At 38.9% G+C, this 25,818-nt stretch overlaps 2 pseudogenes; both read left to right on the forward strand.

Moving 5' to 3' along the window:
* SAR1AP4 (secretion associated Ras related GTPase 1A pseudogene 4) lies at window positions 3,071-4,082 on the forward strand (annotated as a pseudogene).
* Window positions 6,265-8,703, forward strand: FOXN3P2 (FOXN3 pseudogene 2; annotated as a pseudogene).

The raw sequence follows: 25,818 nt of genomic DNA on the forward strand, positions 1-25,818 counted from the left end.
TCTTGAGAGGCAGTGTGGCTTCAGCAGCTTTGCCAAACTGTGGTGGGCTCTGCCCAGTTTGAACTTCCCAGAAGCTTTGTTTATACTGTGAGGGGAAAACCACCTACTCAAGCCTCAGTAATGGCAGATGCCCCTCCCCTCAACCAAACTTGAGTGTCCCAAGTTGACTTCAGACTGCTCTGCTGGCAACGAGAATTTCACGCCTGTGGATATTAGCTTGCTGGTCTCTGTGGGGGTGGGATCCACTGACCTAGACCAAGTGGCTCTCTGGCTTTAGCCATCTTTCCAGAAGAGTGAACGGTTCTGTCTCGATGGCATTCCAAGTGCCACTGGGGTATGAAGAAAAACTCCTGCCGCTAGCTCAGTGTCTGGCAAGTTGGCCACCGAGTTTTGTGCTTGAAACCCAGGGACCTGATGGTGTAGGCACCCAAGGTAATCTCCTGGACTTTGGGTTGTGAAGTATGTGGGAAAAGTGTAGTATTTGTGCTGTAATGTACAGTTCCTCACAGCACAGTTCCTCACTCCTTCCCTTGACTAGGGGAAGGAGTTTCCTGACCACTTGTGCTTCCTGGGTGAGGCAACACCCCACCCTGCTCTCTTCCTTTCCCTCTTTACCTCCCTTTTTTCTTCTATCCCTCCATTGCTCCTTTTCTTTTTCTCTCTACCCCCCTGCACTCTCTCTCTCTCTCTCTTTCTCTCTCTCTCTGTCAGTCTCTTGGTTCTGTTTTTCTGGAGAACCCTGACTGATACAAATACTGAAAGAGAGAAACTCAGTCTAGATTGTATACTTACCAAAAACATTTCCTTCAAAAAATGAAGGTCAAATTTTTTTTTAGATCTTAAAAGGTAAAATAATTCATCATCAGCAGATGTACATTACAAAAATGTTAAATGAACTTTTTTAAGCAGAAGGAAACTGATACCAGGGAAAAATATATCTACACCAAGGAATGATGGATCTCATAAATGAGCTGATTAGGTAAACATATAAGGTACTTGTAATTAAATCAGTTTAAATATTTATTAACTGTAGTTTCTGATCTCTGCCAGAAGATATAGAGATGAAGGATGAGCATTACTTTTATCTGTGTAAGAAAAATGCTAGACGATATAGAAATTAGCAACTTTTCTTGAACCTATTGGAGAAGTTATGTCAAAATGCAGACATCTAACCTAAAACCTGGAGAGAGGTGTCTGCAGGGAACATAACTGGATAATTTTCTACTAAAAATAGATATCACGGAATACCATATAAGATATAGGAAGGTTAAATATTTTGTTAGAAATATTTAGCCAACTGTTAAACGCTGATTGTGGGGTAGCATGAGAAAATGAATCCTGTTTTCAGGCATAAGTGGTTTTCCATCACTTTTTAGGCCACTTCTCCAGGAATCCCATTCAGAAGACTGAGGAAGATACTAAGAAAACTCTTTCATTTCTTGCTGGAGGAAAAGAACAATAGCCACTGCAAAAATCCACCCAGACTAATATATCTTTACTATCTGTACTAAAGAAAATACCTTATCTGCACAGGAGTGCACTGGGAGAATTTCATTGCACCTGTGTAAGAAGAATGGAAATAATTGGGCCAGTTATGGTGGCTCATGCCTGTAATCCCAGCACTTTGGGAGGCCAAGGCAGATGGATCACCTGAGGTAGGGAGTTCGACACCAGCCTGACCAACATGGAGAAACCCCATCTCTACTAAAAATACAAAATTAGCTGGTTGTGGTGGCGCATGCCTGTAATCCCAGCTACTCAGGAGGCTGAGGCAGGAGAATTGCTTGAACCTGGGAGGTGGAGGTTGCAGTGAGCTGAGATTGCACCATTGCACTCCAGCCTGGGCAACAAGAGTGAAACTCTGTTTCATAAAAGATAAATAAATAAAATAAAAATATAAATAAGAATGGAGATCATCACCAAAACTGCACCCATACTCGTCTTCCTGGAAGCTTCTCCATTTGGAGGAGGGATAGTAATACTTGTGAAGAATATATCTTAAAACTGAAGTTCAAAATACTTGCTTAAGACTGAGGTTTTAAAAGAACATCAGAGAATGATCACCTTTCTTCCTCTACCTAATCAGGCTGACAAACTTTGAATAAATATTATAGTGGAATACAGCTGGAGAAATGGCAAGAGACTAGCTCTCTATGGGAAGCAAAACAAAAGAAAAATCCAAAGCCAAGTAGAGAAACAAAAACAAAGTATCACTAGAGGATTTTGAATTATCTCAGGCGCATGACAACAACAAAATCAAACTCTGATAACCATAGCAACAAATTCCAACTCTGGTAACCATAGCAACCATAGCAACTAGGCAAATTTCAATCCTAGCCCAACTCCTGATTAGATCAACACAAACCCCCACACAAAAGGCCCAGCAGAAGGAAAATCATGCTAATCTTGAAGTGTATTTTTAAAATGAAGTTATATGTACTATCTTATAAATGGTCATCTTTCAACAACAAAATTATGTGGCATGCCAAAAAACATGAAATAAACACAATCTGAAGAGACAAAGAATCTTTCTAAAGCAGACTCAGATATCACATGGCTGTTGGAACTATCATTAAAACATTTTAAACAACTGCAATTAACATGTGTAATCACTGGTTCTCAAAAGCAGGTAATTTTGCCCACAGAAAATATTTGGCAATATCTGGACACATTTATCATTGCCTTAATGGGAGATGTTTTACTAGCATCTAGTGGGTAGGGGCCAAGGACGAGGCTAAATGTCCTGCAAGGTGCAGGACAGCATTTTATTTATTCATTCTTACAGTTTTCATTTTTTGCTGAAAGTACAGATATAATCTTGCTTGTCATCTACTTTTACTGTTACAGCATTTAACACAGTAGTTCCCAGCTTTGGCATAATTGATATTTTCAGGCAGATAATTCTCTTGTAAAAATAAAATGGATATGTTAATAAGACTGTAGTAATTATTTCATGATGTATATGTATATCAAAACAACACCTTAAATTTATACAATAAAAAAGAAAGAATAATATGGCAATGCCAGAAATAAAAATCACAATAGGAAAGTCTTGGGGGAGGTTTGTGATGTACATCCAGTGAGTAGCTAGTGGTCCCAGGTGCTGCTGGTTCGTGTGCTCTGAGGGAGAGTCTGAGCCACACGCTACTGACAGAGGAGCCCCTCAGGCCAGTGTAAGCATTAATAATGTCTTTCATCTTTGAGTGAATCTACAATGGCTTCAGCTTTGTGATCTAGTTTCTAGGACTCTAGAAGAAATATAGAAAACTTGTATTCATGGGTTTGGACAATGCAGGCAAAACCACTCTTCTTCACATGCTCAAAGGTGACAGATTGGGCCAACACATTCCAGCACTACATCTGACATCACAAGAGCTAACAATTGCTGGAATGACTTTTACAACTTTTAATCTTGGTGGGCACGAGCAAGCACATCGGTTTGGAAAAATTATCTCCCAGCAATTAATGGGATTTTCTTTCTGGTGGATTGTGTGGATCATTCTTGCCTCGTGGAATTCAAATTTGAGCTTAAAGCTTTAATGACTGATGAAACAGTATACAATGTGCCAATTCGTATTTTGGGAAACAAAATTGACAGAACAGATGAACTCAAGGAAGAAAAACTCTGTGAGATATCTGGGCTTTATGGACAAACCACAGGAAAGGGGAATGTGACCCTGAAGAAGTTGAATGCTTGCCCCATAGAAGTGTTTGTGTGCAGTGTGCTCAAGAGGCAAGATTATGGTGAGGGTTTCCACTGATTCTCCCAGTATATTGACTGATGTCTGGGCACTGAAAATAAAAGAGTTTTGCTTCTCTGGACTGATCCTAATCACAGCTTCCTCATGAACTTTTCTAAAAGAACGAGGAAAGCTCTCCAACCATGTCTGCTATTGAGAGGCCATGAGTATCTGTCAACTCTCTCATTGCCTAGTGGTGACATGTGCTCTTTTCCACACTGTTGAAAGGTTATGTTGCCCCATGTGCTGGTACAAGTTTGTATCCTGGGACTTGGAAGCTGTCAGGATTTGCTGAGTAAAGCTGTGTGCCATCATGGGGCACCTGAAAAGAAAAACACATCTCACCACTGTGGTTGATTTCAAAAGAAACTGATTCTATTTTTTAAAGAAAGTGTTGTTAATATAATTTGTATCCCTCCTAACTTTTCAATTTCATAATTTACTTGGTCCAGAGTGTTCTATTATTTTTTAAACTAATGAATAATATTTAGATACTTCATAAAATTATGAACAGATACATATTGGAGGTCAGAGCTCATTTGGGTGAACTTACCGCTGCTGAGTTAGCAGGTTGGGGTGAGAAGCTCCCCTAAACTCACCTGTCTATATAACTGCCTTGTAGTAGGTGGCATCACCTTGTGCACAAAGAACAAGAAAAGGGGGAGAACCCTGGCCTTGCAGTTGTGGCAGGCTTCGACTGTAGCAAACTAGAGTCATTCATTATCAAGAAATGTGTACCAGATTATTCACTGTGGAGTAGTTAATTATAGAGGGGGTTATTGGTATTATAATTTTTACTTATAAAGTTACAGATTTCAGCCAGTCTGCTTTTGTATAATACTTTCATGAGCTTTTATTCCTCTCTATAGCACTTTGTTTTTTCATTTTCAGTTATCGAAAGTGAATTTCACCTTATAAAAGAGTTAAGAACATCTCTCATGTTGTCACATACTGCAGGTGTGTCTCAGTAACATTTGCACAGATTTTAGGAGTAATTTTTTTAATAGGAAGACACAGGACAAAGTTAACAGCTTAAGGGTTCTCAATTCTATGAGTTGAGACTTAAAAATCTGGTATTGTAGCACTTATTTGGATCTAGAAAAAATTTTAGTTAGTGGGCTTCAAAACTTCCATTTGCAGAATTTGGTCCCTAATGGGCTGTTCCTGGACTCTTTTTCTTACATCTGTTCTCTTTAGATATATATTTTTGGTGTTTAAAGACAAGATTAACATATGTAGCTTTTTTGGGTTTGTTTGTTTGTTTTTGTATGAAATTGCCTTTTTTCCTTCCAGAAATAAGCTGTGGAAAACACTAACCAAAAAACTTTCTGCAGAGCTGTTTTCTTGGAGGCAGCATCACTTATAGGCAGTAAAGACTCATTGTAAAAGCACCAGCATCCCTACTAGAGTAATGAGGATTAATTTTATAGCATTCAATTTTCTTAGTACCAAGTGTGAAATTGGATTTTTATAATCTTAACCTATATTCTAAACTTGCAGTAAAATATGAAATGATAGTATCTTCTAGGAAAAGATAGAATATAGGAGATGAAAAGCTGGAAAGATATATTTATTCTAATATGAGGGTAGAGAAAATATGGTCAACATGTTACTGGGGTGAGAGAATAATGTTCTTTAGTTGGAGTTCTCATTCTTAGTCTTCAGTAATGATTTGTTGGGAAATAATACTTTTTTTCACTACCAGGTGCCAAATGCAGAAACCCAGTGAAGTGCATCCCTGGGAACTACATACATTTTATTTATTAGCAAGCATAGCTGCATTAATAAAAAAAAATCTTTGGTTTGCAAAGGGATAAAGCCTTAGGTAAACAAATTTAGCTAACAGTAAATAAAGTAGGTAGTTAACTTGCATATTTTTATTTCCTTTGGTTAAAGATTACCTTACTTCTCTATTCAGAGACATGAGAAGTAGGATTGCTTCAGTGTTAGTTTCCTTATTTTTGCTTTTTTATTTGTCCCTAATCACTTTGTTGCAAGCTATAAAACTGTGTGATCTACATAGGGCAGCTCTTTGTGAAAGTGGTTTATTCCCTTGGAGAAAGAGGGGATTGAATATCAGTTAGAGCACATCTATAATAAGATAACTGAAAAAAAGCTGCTGTGAGAAGCTCAGCTCCAAACACAGAATCAGCCCCTTGTACAGGAACTCCCATGAATTGAGACTTTCCATTCTGTTTTATTAGAGTGAATATATGTCCTATTTCAGGCAAAGTGAAACAGTTATTTACAAAAGAAAGTTAATCTGTATCCCAACCATCTTTTAAAAAGTTAAAACAAATAGAAAACCCACAATAACAGAAATTAGATTGTTTTGGTTGGGCTCATCAGTAGACATACTACAGCTAAGAAAAACATAAATAATCTTGAAGTTGAGTCAGTAGAAATTCCCCAAACAGGAATGCTGAGAGAAAAAAGTAAGAAAATAGTACGGAACATGCAAGCCCAGTGGGATAATAAATGGTCTAATGTACATGTCATCAGAATCCTACGAGGAGAAGAGAGACAAAAGCTCCTACTTCCCTGCCCCTCTCTAATCAGTATTCTTTCAAGAGTTCTTTGGTGAAGCCATCTATCTGAAACTAAAATGAACCAAACTCATATTTCACTGGTGGTTGGAGAAAACCATGGCCAAAACGACTGTGGCAGGTCTCTATCTTGGGAGTTTTTAAGAAGGAATGTGCCAGAGGCCTTTCTCAAGAATGGAGTTTTCTTTTGTTTTGCAGAGGCAATCAATGTGTCTAGTGCTTGCTGGCCACAGCAGTTACTACCACGGAGCCTTCTGGGAGGGGCCACTGTGTTGAAGGAGGCTCCTGCCTGAGGGACAGCATTAGGCAGTGGGCTCTGTAGAGTGAGAACCAGGTGGACGCCTTTTGTGCCCAGCTCAGAGTCCTGCACCACGCCAGGACTGCCCAGGCCAAGGGCTACTGACGCAAGTTCCACTCATTCCACTCTGTGACGAGGGGCCTTGCGCCTCTCCTGGAAGGGCTCTTGGAGAAGGAATTGGAGTTACGTACAAGTGACCTAAATGGGAAACTTTTCTAGATGAGATTGGATTAAATTCCATGTGATTTATCTTTCCTTTTAATTCAGGTTGGGAGTCATTTCTTTCTGGTGGATCACAGCTGTCCAGATGTTGCAACTGATTTTTATGTTTCTGTAGAGAAGTATTTTTCTTTCATCTTCAGGATTTTTATTTTATTTTTTTTTTGCTACCAAAAGAAAACATTGGAACTCTGTGTTTCCTCTTGATTGTGACTTCCCAATGTTGACAGTTAAGTCCTTAGTGTCGTAGGTCCCAGCCCACCAATACTATATCAAACACTGTTATGCACATAATGCAGCACTGTGATCTAATTTAAATAATACTTTTTATTATTTATACTACTATATATAATATACATCAACACTTTTGCTATATAACCTAAGTGATAACCCTCTTTTAGTTACCTGCCAAACTCTGGACTTGTTTTATATTGTAGTTAACAGAGTACAAAGTTGTAATGGTGTCTTTTTTCCTTTGTAACTGAATGTGTAAATCAAAGTATATACATTCTGTGGTGTTCCTGTTTCTGGAGTTTCATGAGGATTTACACATGGCATTCAGTGTTCTGTACAGATCTGCCTACCTTTGTGAATTCATCTGTTAACCCCTCTTCCTTTGAGAGAACACCAGCGATGGTGATTAACTCCTAGTGTTTTCTCTCTCTCCTACTGGTTATTCTTGAATTAAGCACAGACTCGTCAGCTCAGTAGCTTTATCATGAATAATGTGTGTGACCTTGCAGTTCTTCCACAGTTCAGCAAACAAGTGCTAGCTTCACTGAACAAAAATTAAGGAAGGAAAACACGGTTTTTAAAATGATCCATCTTTTAACAGCCAAAACCAATGTGTCTAAGGTGCGGCATCTTGCTGTTGTACTTCTGAAAACAGACCTGTGTGAATGATCATTTCTGACTTAACCATGAGATGCTCATGTGTACCCTTCCAGTTGTTTTGTTAGCATTGAAATCAAGACTATTTAGTTGGAATATATGCAACAGTGTTTTTCCACTGTATTTCATTTGAAAAAGTTGAAACTTCTTTCTCTACCTTTTGCAAAATAATTGATATTCCATAGTGGATTCTCGAAGACTTTGATATGGTGAAACTATTAAACCTAGAAATTGTATTCATCCTTTCATGACTGTGGCCTGAGTTCCCCAGCCCCTCTCCTCCTTTTTTTAGATGAGATTTAGCACACTCTCAGTTATTTAAACATGCAACATTTCTTGAGTATGTATGTTGAGGCCATCTGCACTCATAGCTGATTCAGTAACCAGTTTCATGCTGTGTCATTCACACTCAGTACTTAATACTGCCATAGTGAAAATGTGGAGGAAAAATGTATACATGTGTGTCTGGGAAGCATATACACTTGTACATTTTTTAATACTCTGATTCTGTAACATTTCTGAGTTTTGTTTTGTTTTACAGAAGAAAAAATGTGATAAAGCGATCAGAAGACCAAGAGCTTTACTATCGATGCTTAGGGTCGTCTGACCTTGGCTGGCCAATAGACCTACATGGCCAAATTAACACGAGAGTAATAATTTTTCAAAAGCCAATTTTTTTCTGTATTTCTGTATGAAGATGCAAATATCATGAATAGAAAGGGAGAACCATAAAGGAGAAAGAACGTGATGTTCCGTTATATTTGTGTGAACCTAAACAAACAATGTGGAGGCAGGTGCAATCAGCCAAACTCTAGGGACTTGATGGTGTTGCTTGGAAGGCATCCATACCTGCATTTTGCATTCTTCGTATGTAATCATATTGCCAAAGACAAAGTATTCCATCATTTATTGTAAACAACACTTTTCCCCAGACCTACCATAAAGTTTCTGTGATGTATTGTCTTCCAGTTGCAATAAAAATTACTGAGTTGCATCAATTGAAAAACAAAAAGAACAGAGAAAATATTTTTAAAAAATGGCTGATAATTTTCCAAAATAGCTACCAAATACTACAAATTGAAGAATTTCAGAAAACATCAAACAGGATAAATGCAATACAAACAAAACAAAAACATATTACACACACGCATATAAACACACACACCCATAGGCATATTATATTCACACTGCTAAAAACTATAAGCAAGGAGAAAATTTTGCAGTCAGCCAGGGATAGGGGCACATTGTTTACAGAGAAAGAAGCATAAGAATCATAGCAGACTTCTCTTTAGAAACCACAAAAACAAGAATACATTTTTTAAGTGTTGAAATAAAAACATTATCAACTTAGTATTCCATTCCCAGTGAAAATGTCCTTCAAAAGTCTTCCAATGTGACCCAACTGACCTTTAAAAACCAACCTTCCAACAACAGAATACACATTCTTCACAAGTGCATATAAAACATTCACAAAAATACATCATATTCTGGGCTGTAAAATAAACCTTGAAAAATTTAGAAGAATAGAAATTATACAAAGTATGTTACCAGGAAATAACATAATTAATCTAAAATCAATAGCATGGAGATTTTAAAAACCCACATATTTTGAAATTAAGCAGAACATTTACGTGAAAGAGAAAGTCTCCAGGAAAATTGAAGAATATTTTCAACAAAACAAAAAGTAAAATACAATATATCAAAATTTGTGATATGTGGCTAAAGTGTAGTGCTGAAATGAAAATATAGAGCATTAATGCATGTATTACAAAAGAAGAATAAGCTAAAATTAATAACCTAAACTTCCACCTTAGGAAAATATGTTAAGAAGAGCAATTTAAGTCTAAAGCAAGTAGAAGAAAGGAAACAATTTTAAAATTAAACAAAAGTCAAAAAATTAAAAATAATAAAACGTTAAATTTTTAAAAAAGATGGTTCTTTGAAGATATACAAATGCCAATAAGCATATGAAAAAATGTTCACCATTACTAATCATCAGGTAACACAAATCAAAACTGCAATGAGATATCAACTCACCTCAGTTAAGATGGCTTTTATCAAAAAGACAAAATTAATGGATGCTGGGAAGGATGTAGAGAAAAGGGAGCACTCATACACTGTTAGTGGGAATGTAAATTAGTAAAGCCACCATGGAAAACAGTATGGAGGTTTCTTGACAAACTAAAAATAAGACTACCATACGGTCCAAAAACCCACTGCTGAGTATATATTTTTTAAAAAAGGAAATCAATATATGGAAGAGTTATCTACACTCCAATTTTTATTACAGCACTATTCACAAGAGCCAAAATATGGACTTAACCTAAATGTCTATCAATGGATGAATAGATAAAGAAAATGCAGTACATGTATACACTGGAGTATTATTCAGCATAAAAAGAATGAAATTTTGTCTTTTGTGGCAACATGTTTGGAACTGAAGATCATTATGTTAAGTGAATTAAGCCAGGTACAGAAAAGACAAATATTGCATGTTTTCACTCATATGTCAGAGCAAAGTATAGTGGATCTCATTGAGATACAGAGTTGATTGGTGATTATCATAGGTTGGAAAGTGTAGGGAACAGGGGGAATGAAGAGATGTTGGTTAATGGGTACAAAAATACAGGTAGATAGAAAGAATATGGTTAGATGTGGTGGCTCACCCCTGTAATCCCAAAACTTTGGGAGGCCAAAGTGGGAGGATTGCTTGAAGGCAATAGTTTAAAACCAGCCTGGGCAACACAGTGAGATCCCAACACAGTGAGTCGAGATTATTTTTCTCAACTAAGAAAAATAATAATAGTAAAAAAGAGAAAAAATAAGATCTAGTGTTTGATGGTATAGTAGAGTGACTATAGTTAATAATAATATATTGTATAGTTCAAAATACCTAAGAGAGAAGAACAGAAATTTTCCCAACATAAAGAAAATATGTTTTTGAGATTATGAGTATCCCTATTACCTAGCAGCTTAACTCTTTATCTTTCTCTCTCTGGCCCACTACGTTTGCTGTTTCTTCCCCTTTATTTTTAGATTTCCCTTCTTACTTTTTCTCTTTCTCCCTTTCCCAGTTTCTCTTTTCTTTCTTCTTACAAAAAACTTTTGAGCTTCCCTCAGTAACTCTTTAATCAACTTTTTATTCCAGCTATAAATCTTTTGTAACTTTTTGGTGATATCTGTCCAGCTTTTGGTCATAAAGTTGACCTTTAGAAGACCCTGTCCTACTGGGTCCTCCAGATGTAATATAGAGTATTTTCTCATCAGATCTTTAAGCCTCTGAAAGAATGCAAAGGGAGTTTCCTCCTTTTCTTGTTGAATTTCAAATGCCTTTGATAAATTGTGTGTCCTAGAAGTGGACTATTTGATCCCTTTAAATATTAGCTCTCTGAGGTCCTGCATTTGGGCATGACATCTAGGATCATTATTATCCCATTCAAGATCAACATTTGCAAATTTTTATTCAGCTGACAGAACTTCTGTCTGAGAGGGTGCTGCCTTTCCCAAATGGTCATAGCTGCCCTCCTAATCATTCCCCTTTCTTCTCCAGTAAACAGAATATTCACGATAGACATTTTGGCCTGGGTGTAGAAACTGGGTCCCAAGAATTGATCCAACTGTTCTGCTAACCCAAAGGGATCTTGTAGGAGTGGGTTCATTTCCCTTTTTAAATTTCTGACTTCAGTACTTGTTAAACTTGCATTAACAAATCCAATTTCTCCCTGTCACATAGGGACTTCCCTGAGGGGGAACATATTAGACATCTTCTCTTTAGAGGGGATAGGGAAGCTTTAGCATCCTTCTTGCATTGTTCTCTTTTCTTAAACTCGGATAAGGGTTTAAAGGAACAGATGGTCTAGTTTCCTCATGGCCTCCAGCCTCTCCCCTTATGACTTTTCTATTGTTCCCTGATTTTCCTGTTTCCTATTTTGCCTGAGATATGGGGGGTGGGCAGGCAAGAAAGGATGTCCCAGGATTTCTTACTGAGTAAGTGTTGTTCATTTATTTTTCTTTAAGGGATAACACGGAAGATAATTCCTTAATCTAGCAAACAGCATAATTTACTTCCTCTTGTGAAAGTGGGGTTCTATCATTAACATACATAATTAAATCTTGGCATACCCAACCTTCGTCCGAGCCAAACTTAGGCCAAAAGACAGAAAGTTGATGAATGGGGTCTTTAGGCCAGATAAAACAGCAATACTTTATCATCTTTTGTTTTTCCTTAACCCTGGTTCGGGGATTATTCCCCAAAGCCTGTAACATCCTGCCCAATGGACTATCTGGGAGGATGTTGGAGGGGACCTTCTTGGCTCCCTCCTTCCTTTGTTCTCTAGGCCTAGAATTTTTGCTTCCCATTTTCTGCTGGTCCCTGTTTCTGAGTTTCCCTGTGTAATCAACCCTCCCTACTGGAGGTTTTTGGCACACCCAGTGAATCAACTGCTTGGTCCATCTCCGGCCATTTCCCTTGAGGGAGACTAAAAGCGCGGATTGGACATCCGCACTCACTTCGTATCTAGGATACATCTCAGACACACACACACTCGACCTGCAAAAATGCCCAACCACCAAGGCAGTACTTATGGTCCAATTTTTATACCTTGGTTTGTGCACGAAGTTGCCTGGTTGCCACAGTGCCTGCTTTTCTCCCAGTGTCACTTCCATTGTCTTCTGAATAATGGTTTCGGGTTTGTCTTTGGCTTCTGCAGGGAGCTGGGACATCCAGACAGAGCAGGCCACATAAGTTGAGTGGGATGTGTCTCTCCTCTCAGCTGGAGTTTCAATCAATGGAGGCACAGAGATCTCCATATGGGCCACCAAGTTGTAAAAAAAAAAAAACTCACCCATCCAAACCCAAGAATGGACTCAGAGACCCAGAGAACAGCGAAAGTGAGACTTTTAATGATGGTCTTGCAAGATCTGGTGTCCGGAATGCAGCCACAACCAGGAGATATATATATATATATATATATATATATATATATATATATATATATATATATATATATATATATATATATATTAAGTATTTCTCCTACTGCTATCCCTCCCCTAGCCCCCCGCCCCCTGACAGGCCCCGGTGTGTGATGTTCCCCTCCCTGTGTCCATGTGTTCTCATTGCTCAACTCCCACTTACGAGTGAGAACATGCAATGTTAGGTTTTCTGTTCCTGTGTTAGTTTGCTGAGAATGTTGATTTCCAGTTTCATCCATGTCCTTGCAAAGGACATAAACTCATTCTTTTTTGGCTGCGAAGTATTCGATGGTGTATATGTCCCACATTTTCTTTATCCAGTCTATCATTGATGGGCATTTGGGTTGGTTCCAAGTTTTTGCTATTGTGAATAGTGCTGCAATAAACATACATGTGTATGTGTCTTTATAGTAGAATGATTTATAATCCTTTGGGTATATACCCAGTAATGGGATTGCTGGGTCAAACGGTATTTCTGGTTCTAGATCCTTGAGGAATCGCCACACTGTCTCCCACAATGGTCGAACTACTTTACTCTCCAACCAACAGTGTAAAAGTGTTCCTATTTTTCCGCATCCTCTCCAGCATCTATTTTTTCTGAACTTTTTAGTGATCGCCATTCTAACTGGTGTGAGACGGTATCTCACTGTGATTTTCATTTGCATTTCTCTAATGACCGGTGATGATGAGCTTTTTTTCATGCTTGTTGGCTGCATAAGTGTCTTCTTTTGAGAAGTGTCTGTTTATATCCTTTGCCCACTTTTTGATGGGGTTCTTTTTCTTGTAAATTTGTTAAAGTTCCTTGTAGATTCTGGATATTAGCCCTTTGTCAGATGGATGGATTGCAAAAATTTTCTCCCATGCTGTAGGTTGCCTGCTCACTGTGATGATAGTGTCTTTTGCTATGCAGAAGCTCTTTAGTTTAATTAGATCCCACTTGACAATTTTCGCCTTTGTTACCATTGATTTGGGTGTTTTAGTCATGAAGTCTTTGCCCATGCCTATGTCCTGAATGGTATTGCCTCGGTTTTCTTCTAGGGTATTTATGGTTTTATTTCTTACATTTAAGTCTTTAATCCATCTTGAGTTATTTTTTTGTGTAAGGTGTAAGGAAGGGGTCCAGTTTCAGTTTTCTGCATATAACTAGCCAGTTTTCCTAATACCATTTATTAAATAGGGAATCCTTTCTGCATTGCTTGTTTTTGTCAGGTTTGTCAAATATCAGATTGTTGTAGATGTGTGTCATTATTTCTGAGATCTCTATTCTGTTTTATTGGTCTATATATCTGTTTTGGTACCAGTACCATGCTGTTTTGGTTACTGTAGGCTTGTAGTATTGTTTGAAGTCAGGTTGCATGGTGCCTCCAGCTTTGTTCTTTCTGCTTAGGATTGTCTTGGCTATGCAGGCTCCTTTTTGGTTCCATATGAAATTTAAAGTAGGTTTTTTTTCTAATTCTGTGAAGAAAGTCAATGGTAGCTTGATGGGGATAGCATTGAATCTATACACTACTTTGGGCTCTATGGCCATTTTCACAATATTGATTCTTCCTATCCATGAGCATGGAATGCTCTTCCATTTTTTTGTGCCCTCTCTTATTTCATTGAGCAGTGGTTTGTAGTTCTCCTTGAAGAGGTCCTTCACATCCCTTATAAGTTGAAATCTTAGGTATTTTATTCTGTTTGTAGCAATTGTGAATGAGATTTCACTCATAATTTGGCTCTCTGTTTGTTTATTATTGGTGTATAGGAATGCTTGTGATTTTTGCACATTGATTCTGTATCTTTTTTTTTTAATTATACTTTAAGTTTTAGGGGACATGTGCACAATGTGCAGGTTAGTTACATATGTATACATGTGCCATGTCGGTGTGCTGAACCCAGTAAATCGTCATTTAACATCTTGAGGTTTGCTGAAGTTGCTTATCAGCTTAAGGAGATTTTGAGCTGAGATGATGGGGTTTCCTAAATATACAATCATGTCATCCGCCAACAGAGACTATTTGACGTTCTCTCTTCTTATCTAAATACACTTTATTTATTTATCTTGCCTGATTGCCCTGGCCAGAACTTCCAATACTGTGTTGAATAGGAGTGGTTAGAGAGGGCATCCTTGTCTTGACCCAGCACAGTTTTAACAAGCAATTTATCCCGTAGTGCATAGGTCCTTCCCCTGGTTTCTCATTGGCTGAGTACTATGGTGTCACAATCTTTCCCAGTGTCACCTATTGATTGTTAGGCAGGGGCTTCAAGTACGTTCTTTAGGGTCTTTCTGCTGCATTTTATCATAGCCCACAATGCATTACAACTGTCTCAGGACACTTCAAACATTTGACTTATGGCTCTGGTGGCTACTCTTAGCTGGTAAGAAAAGGTAAAATTGTCTATGTTGCAAGCTAGCTTATACTAAATTTTTTGGTGGGGTTGGGAAGGGGTAGTTGAGGGGGCCCCAACCAATAGGTGCCTGGCTGCTGGGTGAAAAGGAAGGCAGGAAGGAGGGAGGGTGGTGACTCGGTACACTCTGCTTCTTTCTCTCTTTATTTCCATGTAGCCTGCTTAAAATTAAGGCACTTAGAATTGAAAATGGATGATCATATATAGGTTATTTTCCACATATATGGTATTGATTTATTTACTACAATAAACAACACATATTTAGGGTGTACTGATTGATAAGTTTTTGCATATGTAACTACCTGTGAAAACGTTACTACAATCAAGATCATGAACAAATTTATTATCCTCATAGTTTTTTATGCTTCTTTGCAATCTCTTCTTATCTTCTCTTACCACCCCCAGGCAAGCATTGATCAACTTTCTGTCTCTATAGATTTGTTGATATTTAAAAATTATTCATAAAAATGCAACTGAAGAAAAGGTTTTCTTTTTTGCCTGGCTTCTTTTACTCAGTGTAATCATTTTTGATATTTATCAGTGTTATTGCATGTATCAACTGTTCATTCTTTTTGTTATTAAGTAATATGCCATTGTCTTAGTTCAATTTGTGCTGCTACAAAAAAATACCACTGACTGGCTAGTTTATAAAGAAAATAAATAATTATTTTCTCACAGTTTGGGAGGCTGCAAAGGCCAAGGCCAAGGCACTGGAAGGTTCAGTTGTCTGGAGATGACTGTATTATTTAGAGGGAATGAACATTATGTCCTAATTTGGTGGAGGGTAGAAGGACAAGAGAGCCAAATGCCACATGAAACATCTTTTATAAGGGCCTTAATTCTAGGCACAAAAAAGGATCCCATATAATCTAATCACTTTTTATAGGCCCTACCTCTTAATATTATCATATTGGCCATTATGTTTAAATACCAGAATTTTGAAGGGCACACATCCAAGCCATAACTTCTATTTTACGCACATACCACAATTTCTTTATTTATCTCTTGATGGACATATTGGATGTTTAAAGTTTGGAGCTATTACAAATAAAACTGTCATGGCATTTTTGTAAAAGTCTTTATTGGCATATACTTTTATTTTTATTGGATTAGTATCTAGGGGTGGAAAGGCTAGATCATACTGAAGATGTATATTTGATTTTTAAGAAACTCACACAAAAATTTTCAAAGTGGTTGTCCCATTTTACATTCCCACTAGCAATGCGTGAGATTTTCTATTTTTGCAGATCGCAATCAACATTTGGTATGGCCAATTTTACAAATTTTGTACATTTTAATTTGTGTGGGTTGACATCTCATTGTGGTTTTAATTTGCATTTATTTAATGACAATACCTTGCATCTTGTTATTTGCCATGCATATGGGGATTTTTCCAGTTAGTTATCCGTTCAAATATTTTTCCAATTTCTTATTGTGTTGCAAATATTTTCTCAGTGTTTAACTAATGGTCACAATGCAATTCAAAAATCAGATGCCCAATTTATTGTTTTCTCTTTTGTGAATTGTGCTTTTGATGTCATATCTAGGAAATATTTGCCCAATTGAAATTAGAATTTTTTAAATATTTTCTGCTAGATTATTTTATGATTTTACAGTATACATTTAGTCTATAATCCATTTTGTGTTGACTTTTATAAATGCCGTGAGGTATGAATTGCAATTTAGATTTTTTTATGGATATACAATTGTTCTGACACAATTTTTTGAAAACATGTCTGTCTCCACTGAATTGCCCTTGCAATTTTGTCAAAGATAAATTGTCTATTTGTATGTATGGGTCTATTTATTCACTATTTTTCTATTTGTTTATCTTTATGCCAATACCACAATGTGTTTATTACTACAGCTTTATAGTAATTAATACAGTGAAAACAGAGCTCCCATACAAAGGGAGGGGACCCAAAGGGGGAAGCCATTGTCCGCTCCAATGCCTGGGTTTATATCCCGATCATTGTCCCTCCCCCTGTGCTCTCAGACGATAGATGATTGGCTATTTCTTTACCTCCTGTTTTAGCCTAATTAGCATTTTAGTGAGCTCTCTTTACTACCTGACTGGTCAGGTGTGAGTTAAGTTGCAAGCCCCGTGTTTAAAGGTGGATGTGGTCACCTTCCCAGCTAGGCTTAGGGATTCTTAGTTGGCCTAGGAAATCCAGCTAGTCCTGTCTCTCAGTGCCTCCTCTCAACAGGAAAATCCAAGTGCTGTTGGGGAGGTTGGCCAACGACTGCTCTAATGGCTTCCTGCTGAATTGGGGCATAGTAGGGGTCATGCAGTTGACATTTACTCAGGAGGGGTGGCTTCGATGTTATGAACATTGGATCATGGGTTGGCAGGCTGGTCCACGGGTCCGTGGTAGATCTTAGTCATGGACTGCATATGGGGCTCCATTTGAAGAATGATTTGTAGTTTCACAGCTTCGATTCTGGAAGAGACAAACTTAACAAAGAGGTTAAAGATACAATGATTGAAATCTGCAGTGCAGGGGATTATTTCTTTGGCACACTTCACAGGCCCTGACTATCTGCTTGATAGTTTTGAAAAGGCCTGGTCCAGTAAATAATAATTTGGTCATGTGAAGTGTGCTATCAATTTCTAAGTGAAAGGTTTGGTGAAGAGTTTTAAGTAATTTCCTTTGGTTAGCTGCAGGCAAAAGTATTTTTTCTTCTTTGGTGGCTAGCCATTCTGAGGGGAGGAAATTATGTCCTTGTGAGGTTCCCTATTCTATTTCTCCTCCTGAGTACTGGGGCTTGGTTTCCTGGATGTGATTACCCCATACTAGGGGTCCTTCTACAAGCATTTCTAATGGAGGGTCCTGCCTTGCAGCTCTTTTGTCTTCAATATCCGCTTGGCAGTTCCCTTCTATTTCCCTTTCCTTTTCTTTACTTTCTGATGACCCAGCAGTGTAAGACTGCCACCTCTTTAGGTTTCTGTACAGCCAATAATAATCTCCTAATGGCTTCCTGATGTTTAATATGTGTTCCCTTGGAAGTTAGGAATTCCCTTTCTCTACATATTGCTGCGTGGGCATGGAGGACTAGGTAAGCATACTTACAGTCTGTATATATATTTATCCTTTTTCCTTCTCCTAATTCTGGTGCCCAAGTGAGGGCTGTTATTTCTTCCAGCTGAGTGCTAGTTCCTGGAGTGAGGGGATTACTTTCAAGTATTCCATTATCACTGACTACTGCATACCTCACATTTTGAAGTCCTTTTTCTACAAAGGAACTTCCATCAGTATACAAGTTGAGGTCAGGATCAGTCAAGGGAACCTCTAGAAGGTCCCCTCGAGTGGCGTAGGTTTGAGCAGTTACTTTTTGACAGTTATGTTCTATTTTTTCTTCATCGTCTGGAAGAAATGTGGCTGGGTTAAGAGTTGCACAAGTGCACAGTCACAGCACTGGCCCTTCAAGTAATAGGGCCTGATATTTAAGCAAATGGTTGTCTGACAGCCACAAGTCTCCTTCAGCAGTGAGTATGCCGTTCACATCATGAGATGTCCACACAGTAAGATCTCTTCCCTGTATCATTTTAACTGTTTCAGATACTAAGACTGCTACTGCTGCCATTACCCATAAACAATGAGGCCAACCCTTTGTCACTACATCACTTTCCTTACTCAAGTATGCCACGGGTTGCAAGCTGGTCCCTCGGACTTGCGTAAGGACTCCTAGAGCTATTCTTGTTTTTTCTGTGACATATAAAGAAAAGTCTTGCCCCATTGGCAAGCTTAACACTGAGGCTTGGGGTAGGGCCTTCTTTAGGGCCTGGAAAGCCACTTCTGCTTCAAATGTCCATCTTAATAAATGGGTATTGGCTTTCTGAGTTTTCTTAATTAGTGTATATAATGGTCTGGCTATTTTGCCGTACCTGGGAATCCATATTTGGCAGAAGCCTGTTATGCCAAGGAACCCTCTTATTTGCTTTAGGGTTTTGGGATAAGGATAAGTCAGTATAGGCTGGATACTTTCCTCACTGAGGGCCCTGTTGCCTTTGGATAATTTTAGCCATAAGTATTTAACCTGCTGTGAGCAGAGCTGAGCCTTTGGTTTGGAAACCTTGTAGCCACAGGTGGCAAGGAGATTTAAGAGTGCTTGGGTGGCTTGATGGCACAAGGTTTCTGAACAGGAGGCTAAAAGTAAATCATCCAGGTACCGAAGGACAAGAGTGTCCAGGTATGAGAGCTGGCTCAAGTCTTGGGATAATGCCTGGCCAAATAGATGGGGGCTCTCCCTGAACCCTGGGGGTAAAACAGTCCAGGTGAGTTGAGACATTGGGTTCAAAGGATCTTCAAAGGCAAACAAGAATTGAGATTCAGGATGTACAGGGATGCAGAAAAAGGCATCCTTAAGGTCCAGGACTGTAAACCACTCTGCTTCCTCTGGTATTTGGGAAAGCAGAGTATAAGGGTTACATACAGCTGGGTATAGAGGACAACGGCCTCATTGATAATCCTGAAATCTTGAACTAACCTCCACTGTCCTTTGGGTTTCTGTACTCCTAAAATTGGAGTATTGCAGGGGCCATTGCATGGTTTTACTAGGCCTTGGGCTTTTAGGTCCTTAACAATCTTTTGGAGTCCTTGTTGGGCCTCGGGTCTGAGTGGGTACTGCCTTTGGTAGGGAAAGGAGGTGGAATCCTTTACTTTAACTTGAACAGGATGGGCATTCTTTGTTCATCCATATTGTCCCTCTGTTGCCCAGACTCCAGGATTAATTCCTTCATCAAGCAGGGGACAACAAATGGGTGTTCCTTCTCGTATGTTCAGGTGTATAATAGTCCCTGCTTTTGCTAGAATGTCTCTCCATAACAATGGAGCGGGGCATTCAGGCATAATTAGAAAAGCATGTGAAAAGAGTAAAGTTCCCCTGTCACAATTTAGTGTCTGGGAGAAGTATCTAGTGACTGGCTGTCCTAGGACCCTCGGATAGTGACAGATCTGGAGGACAGTTTTCCAGGACAGGAGAGTATGGCTGAGAAGGCTGCACCAGTGTCCAGGAGATAGTTAACCTCCTAACCCTCAATGGTCAAGCATACCCGGGGCTCTGTGAGGGTGATGGCATGGGCTGGCACTTGCCCCGGGCAACCTCAGTCCTGCTGCTGGATCACCTGGTTAGTGGCTTCTAAGTCAGAGGTCCTTCATCCCCTGGGGCAGTGGGCCTTCCAGTGATTCCCTTGACATAAGGGGCATGGACGAGGGGGTGGCTTATTTCTATTCAATCTTTTTTAAAGTGTCCTTGTAGATTGTGCTGGAAGCAAGCCCTATTAGGCATTCAATTTGACCAGCCTTTCCGTGTTCCAGAGCCTCCAAAGTCCACTTGCCTGAGGGCCATGACTAAAGCAGTGGCCTTTTTCTTATCTCATTTGTCCTGTTCCACCTGCTCCTCCTGATCTCTATTATAAATATCTGAGGTTGCCAAGTTCAATAGGGTTTCTAAGTTTTGCTCCAGGCCTAAGGTGGACTTCTGAAGTTTCTTTCTAATGTCTTCAGCTGACTGAGTGATAAACTTATCCTTTAATATTAGTTGGCCTTCAATAGAGTCAGGTGACAGAGAGGTATGCTTTCTCAATGCCTCCCTTAGTCTCTCCAGAAAGGCAGTGGGATTTTCTTCTTTTCCCTGTGTTATAGCGGACATCATTGAATAATTCATAGGCTTCTTCTTAGTTTTCCTTAGTCCTTCTAGCATGCAAGTTAGCTAATGTCTGCAGCACCAACCTCCATGTTCTGATTCTGTGTCCCAGTGAGGTTCTACATTGGGAACTGCCTGCTGGCCCGTGGAGAATTGTTCCTTCCTCTGTTGTCATCCTATCATTGACCTGACTGAGATACCAGAGATTGCCAAACTCTCAAGCTGCAATTATGGCAGCACTTCTTTCATTTGGGGTTAGTGTCTGATCTAGCAGTCACATTATATCTCCCCATGTCAGATCAAAGGATTGTCCTAACTCTTGTGAAACATCAATATAGCCATCAGGGTTATCTGAGAATTTACCTAAGTCTATTTTAATTTGCTTCAAGTCTGAGAGGGAAAAAGGTACATACACCCTGGCTGGGCCGAATTCTCCAGAATACATCTTAGGGGTGTTTTTGCCTTGGGGGGAACGTTTCTCATCTGAAAAAGGAACATAGGGATGCCAGCACCCCTAGTCATTTTCCAATGAGCATTAGTCCTAGAGTGTCCTCTATGGTCCTAATGCTTATTCCTTTCCAAGGTGCATAACCACCCATGGACATCTGCTTATTAGATTAGTTACACTTACTGATGTAGCAGTCTTGCACCTCTTTTCCCACCTTTTCTGACCACAAAGAAAGGGGTCCGGGCTGCTGGATTCTAGTGGTCCTTTTCCAGCATGCCCGACATTGCCTTTGGGCTCAGGGTGAGTTCTAGAGCTGGGCTGGGTTCCTGAGTATTTCATAATAACCCAGTTGCCCCATCAAGATGCATTCCTACAAACAACAGTTCTTATGCAAATTCATTTCAGAGAGGGTGTGGGTAATCTTTTGAGTCAGGATTGAGATAGAGGTTTTTGATTCTGTAAGTACTTTAAAGCTTGACTGAGTGCAAACAGCTCACACATTTGAATAGACCAATTATTAGGCAATTTACTTAACTCTGCCTCTACAACAGTTTCCCTCAATTATTGAATACCCATTGTGTTTTTTTCTCAATCACCTGGGAGGAACCATCTATTGTCCTGTCCTGAAGGAGTTCCTCCTAGGTCTGGTCAGACCTTTGTATGGTAATTAAGATTTAAATTCCCTGTTAGGAAATCTTCTGGGTTAAGGGAATTTTCAGTGGTTAATGTAAAATTATCTTTTTCAAACAGAATAGCCCCATACTTTAAGATTTTTGAGTTAGTAAGCTACCCTTTTTGCTTTTTTGACTTAGGATAACTCTGAACTAGTGAGGTGTGCTCACAATGAGGTTTCCTCTAAAGGCTAATTTTTTACTTTCTTCTGTTAGTAAAGCAGTTTCTGCTATGGATGGAATGCATTTGGGCCACCCACAAGTTCCTGGGTTAAGGATTTTTGATAGAAAGTCTACTGGTTGTCAGTGGCCTCAGTGCTTTTGGGCTATGCCCTTGTTTATGCTGACAACAAAGTGGAATTGGAGTGTTATAGGGTCACAGAGAAAACCTTCAGCTATCAGTTATAGGTTTTAAATTTACCCTGGCTTTTAAAGAAATAGGGTACACTGTTTTTTCTTTACTACTTCTATCTTTCTCTTTCTCTCTTTCTTTCTCCTTTCTGCCTTAGTAGATGGATTTTTGGAAACACAGCAGAAGGACATTCACTCATTGCCCCCATTTGCCACTATAGGAATATGCACCTCCCTTTAATTCACTCAATTTGCTTTCATCCTGATCTATTATGTTGTTGTAGACCCAGTTTCAGTTGTTAAAGTATTGGATTACTGGGTTATCAGTTCTAAGGCCCTGGCAAGGGTGGTGGGGAACAGGTCCCACATAAGTGCCCATATCGAGAGCTATATGCCTAAATTGGGTGGGACACCAGGGACAAGATTCCCTGGTTTTATAGCTTAGGGGCCTGAGGATGCAACATAGAGCTTCCTTAGATCCATTTGGAGATACAACCTGCTCTAATACTTGGGAGAGGAAGTGAAAGTCTGAAGCACTAGTATCTAGGAGACAGGGATCAGAGGAAGTAGATTCAGAGGTAAGGAGAATTTTGGGGCTACACTTTCAAGAAAGTCATGGTCAGGACCCAGGAGGTATGGTTCAGAGGGAGAGGTACGGGTGCACGCATGGGCGACTGTTGAGCAGAGACTTCTGGCTGTGCTATTATCTCAACTGGCTAATGCAGGGAGTTCAGGATGACAGCTTTCTGCCTCTAGTTGGCCCTCAGCTTCCCTAGGAAAATTCAAAGTGGAAGCTGGCTCCAGGAAGACCAACGCTCCCAACCCAGAAGGGTTGGGGTTTGTTAGAAAGCCCTTTCCCAGACAGCCTCACACCTGAGTCTTAAGTCAGGCAGCCATGCTAATCATTTCTAACTGGCTGATAGGTGCCTGGTATTTTCCTCCAATTATAAGGAAGGATAGGACAGAATAGCAAGTGAAAGTGGTCCAATATTACTCACTGCTTTGGAGGTCCCTTTGTGGTTGCCAAAATGTTACTGGCGGGGGGGCGGTTCTTGTTCTTAGAGCTCCCAAGATGGTGCAGACCACTTCCAAAATGGTGGCAAGCTTCTTGTTCTCTGACCCGGGGTTCTTGGCCTCACAGATTCCAAGGAATGGAATGTTGGGCCATGTGGTGAATGTTATAGCTCTCCTAGAAGCTGTGGGTCATGGAAGAGAACCGTGGAACCCAGCGAGTAGTGTTCAGCTCAATTAAGATGAACCCAGGCACTTAGCCAAGCAGGAACAATGGTGAGCCTTTAGCCCAATCAGGAGTGGCAATGGGCACCTCTCTGGATCAGAAGCACAGTGGACAACATGCTGGATCCAGAGGGATGGAAGTCAGTGGCGGGTCTGTGACAGTGACAAACAGCAGTGGTGGATGGCGAGCGAAAGCTCAGCTCAAGCCATAACAAACATGGACCAGAAGAGTGTGCAGTTGCAAGATTTAATAGAGTGAAAACAGAGCTCCTTTAAAATGGGAGGGGACCCAAAGGGGGTTGCTCAATTTTAGTCTTTTAACTTTGTTCTTCTACTTTAAACCTGTTTGGCTATTCTAGATCTTATGTATTTGCAAATGATTATTGAGTCAGCTTTTCATTTTCTATAGCTTAACAATATTCAGTCTTCTAACTCAGGAATTTGATATATCTCTCCATTTATTTTTGGTCTTTTAAATTTTCTCTCAGTAAATTTTTGTAGTCTAGAAATCAATGTACAGGATTGCACATCTTTAGTCAGATTAAACCCCTCAGTATTTTATATTTTTATGCTATTGTAAATGTCAGTATGTTCAATTATTCCTTGCTGATATATTGACATTCAGTTGTATCTACATTGATCTGATATCCTTCAAACTTATAAAATTTAGTTGTTACTTCTTGTTTCCTTTTTGCAGATTTCATATGATTTTCTACATAAATGGTTATGGCCTTTGTGAGTAAAGAGAGTTTTACTTCTTCTTTTACTCTCTGAATATTATTTATTTATTTATTTGACAGGATCTTACTCTGTCACCCAGCCTGGGGTGCAGTGGTGGAATCATGGCTTACTACAGCATTGACTTCTCAGGCTCAGATGATTCTCCCACCTCAGCCTCCCAAGTAGCTGGGACTACAGGTGCACACCACCAACCCATCTAATTTTTTGTAGGGACTGGCTTTTGCCATGGTGCCCAGGCTGATCTCAAACTCCTGGGCTCAAGTGATCTGCCTTCCTCAATCTCCCAAAGTGCTGGGATTATAGGCATGAGGCACCATGCCCGACCATGGATATGTTTTTTTTTTTTTTTAAGTATTTTAACTTTTTTGATGTAGGCACTTATAGCTGTAATCTTCCCTTTTAGTACTGATTCACTGTATCCCATCAGTTTTGGTATGTTGTGCTTTCATTTTTTCCAAGAAATTTTTCAATTTTCTTTTTAATTTCTTTATTGACCCACTGGTCATTCAGGATCATATTGTTTAATTTTCACGTTTGTATTATTTCCAAAATACTTCTGTTATTAATTTTAGTTTTATTCCTTTGTGGTCAGAGTAGATGCTCAATATTACTTCAATTTTTTTAATGTTTAAGACTTGAGTTGTGACCTAATATATGATCTGTTTCTGAGAATAATCTATGTGCTGAGGAAAAGAATGTGTATTCTGCAGCTCTTAGATGAAATGTTCTGTAAATATCTATTAGATCCATAGTGCAGGTTAAGTTTGTCTATAGTGCAGATTAACTCTGGTGTTTCTTTGTTGGTATTTTGTCTGGAAGATGTGTTTAGTGCTGAAAGTGAGAGGATGATGTCTCTAGCTATTTTGGATCAGGGCCTATCTCTCCCTTTAACTCTAAAAACATATTTTTTCTATACCTTGGTGCTCCAGTATTGGGTACATATATATTTAAAATTGTTACATTCTCCTGCTTAATTGACTCTTTTTTCATTATATGGTGACCTTGTTTGACTCTTCTAATAGTTTTTTGTCTTGAAATATAATTTGTCTGATGTAAGTATAGCAACTCCTGTTTTTGTTTTTTTGTTTGTTTGCATTGGCATGGAATATCGTTTTCCATCACTTAATTTTTAGTCTGAGTGTTTTTATAGGTAATATATATTTCCTGTAGGTAACATATTAATGGGTCTTGTCTTTATTTTATTCATTCAGTTAGCCTATGCCTTTGATTGAAGCATTTAGTTCATTTACATTCAATGTTATTATTGATAAGTAAAGAATTACTCCTGCCATTTTGTTATTTGTTTTCTGTTTGTTTTGCAGCCTTCTCATCCTTCTTTCTTTCCGTGCTGTCTTCCTCTAGTGAAGATAATTTTATCTGGTGAGGTGATTTAGTGTTTGTTTGTTTGTTTGCTTGTTTTTGCTTTTTAGTTTTTGTGTGTCCATTGTATGTGTTTTGGTTTGAGATTACCATGAGGCTTGCAAATCATATCTCATAATCTATTATTTTAACCTGATGACAGCCTCATGCTCTTTGTAGAAACAAATAAAAAAGCAAAAAGAAAACTAATAAAAACTTGCCTTAAATTTATCCCCCAACTTATAAAGTTCTTATTGTTTCTATTTATGTCTTACAGTTCTGACTACATCTTGAGAAGTTGTGGTTA

Source organism: Homo sapiens, chromosome X (assembly GCF_000001405.40).
Source record: "Homo sapiens chromosome X, GRCh38.p14 Primary Assembly".
NCBI lineage: Eukaryota > Metazoa > Chordata > Mammalia > Primates > Hominidae > Homo > Homo sapiens.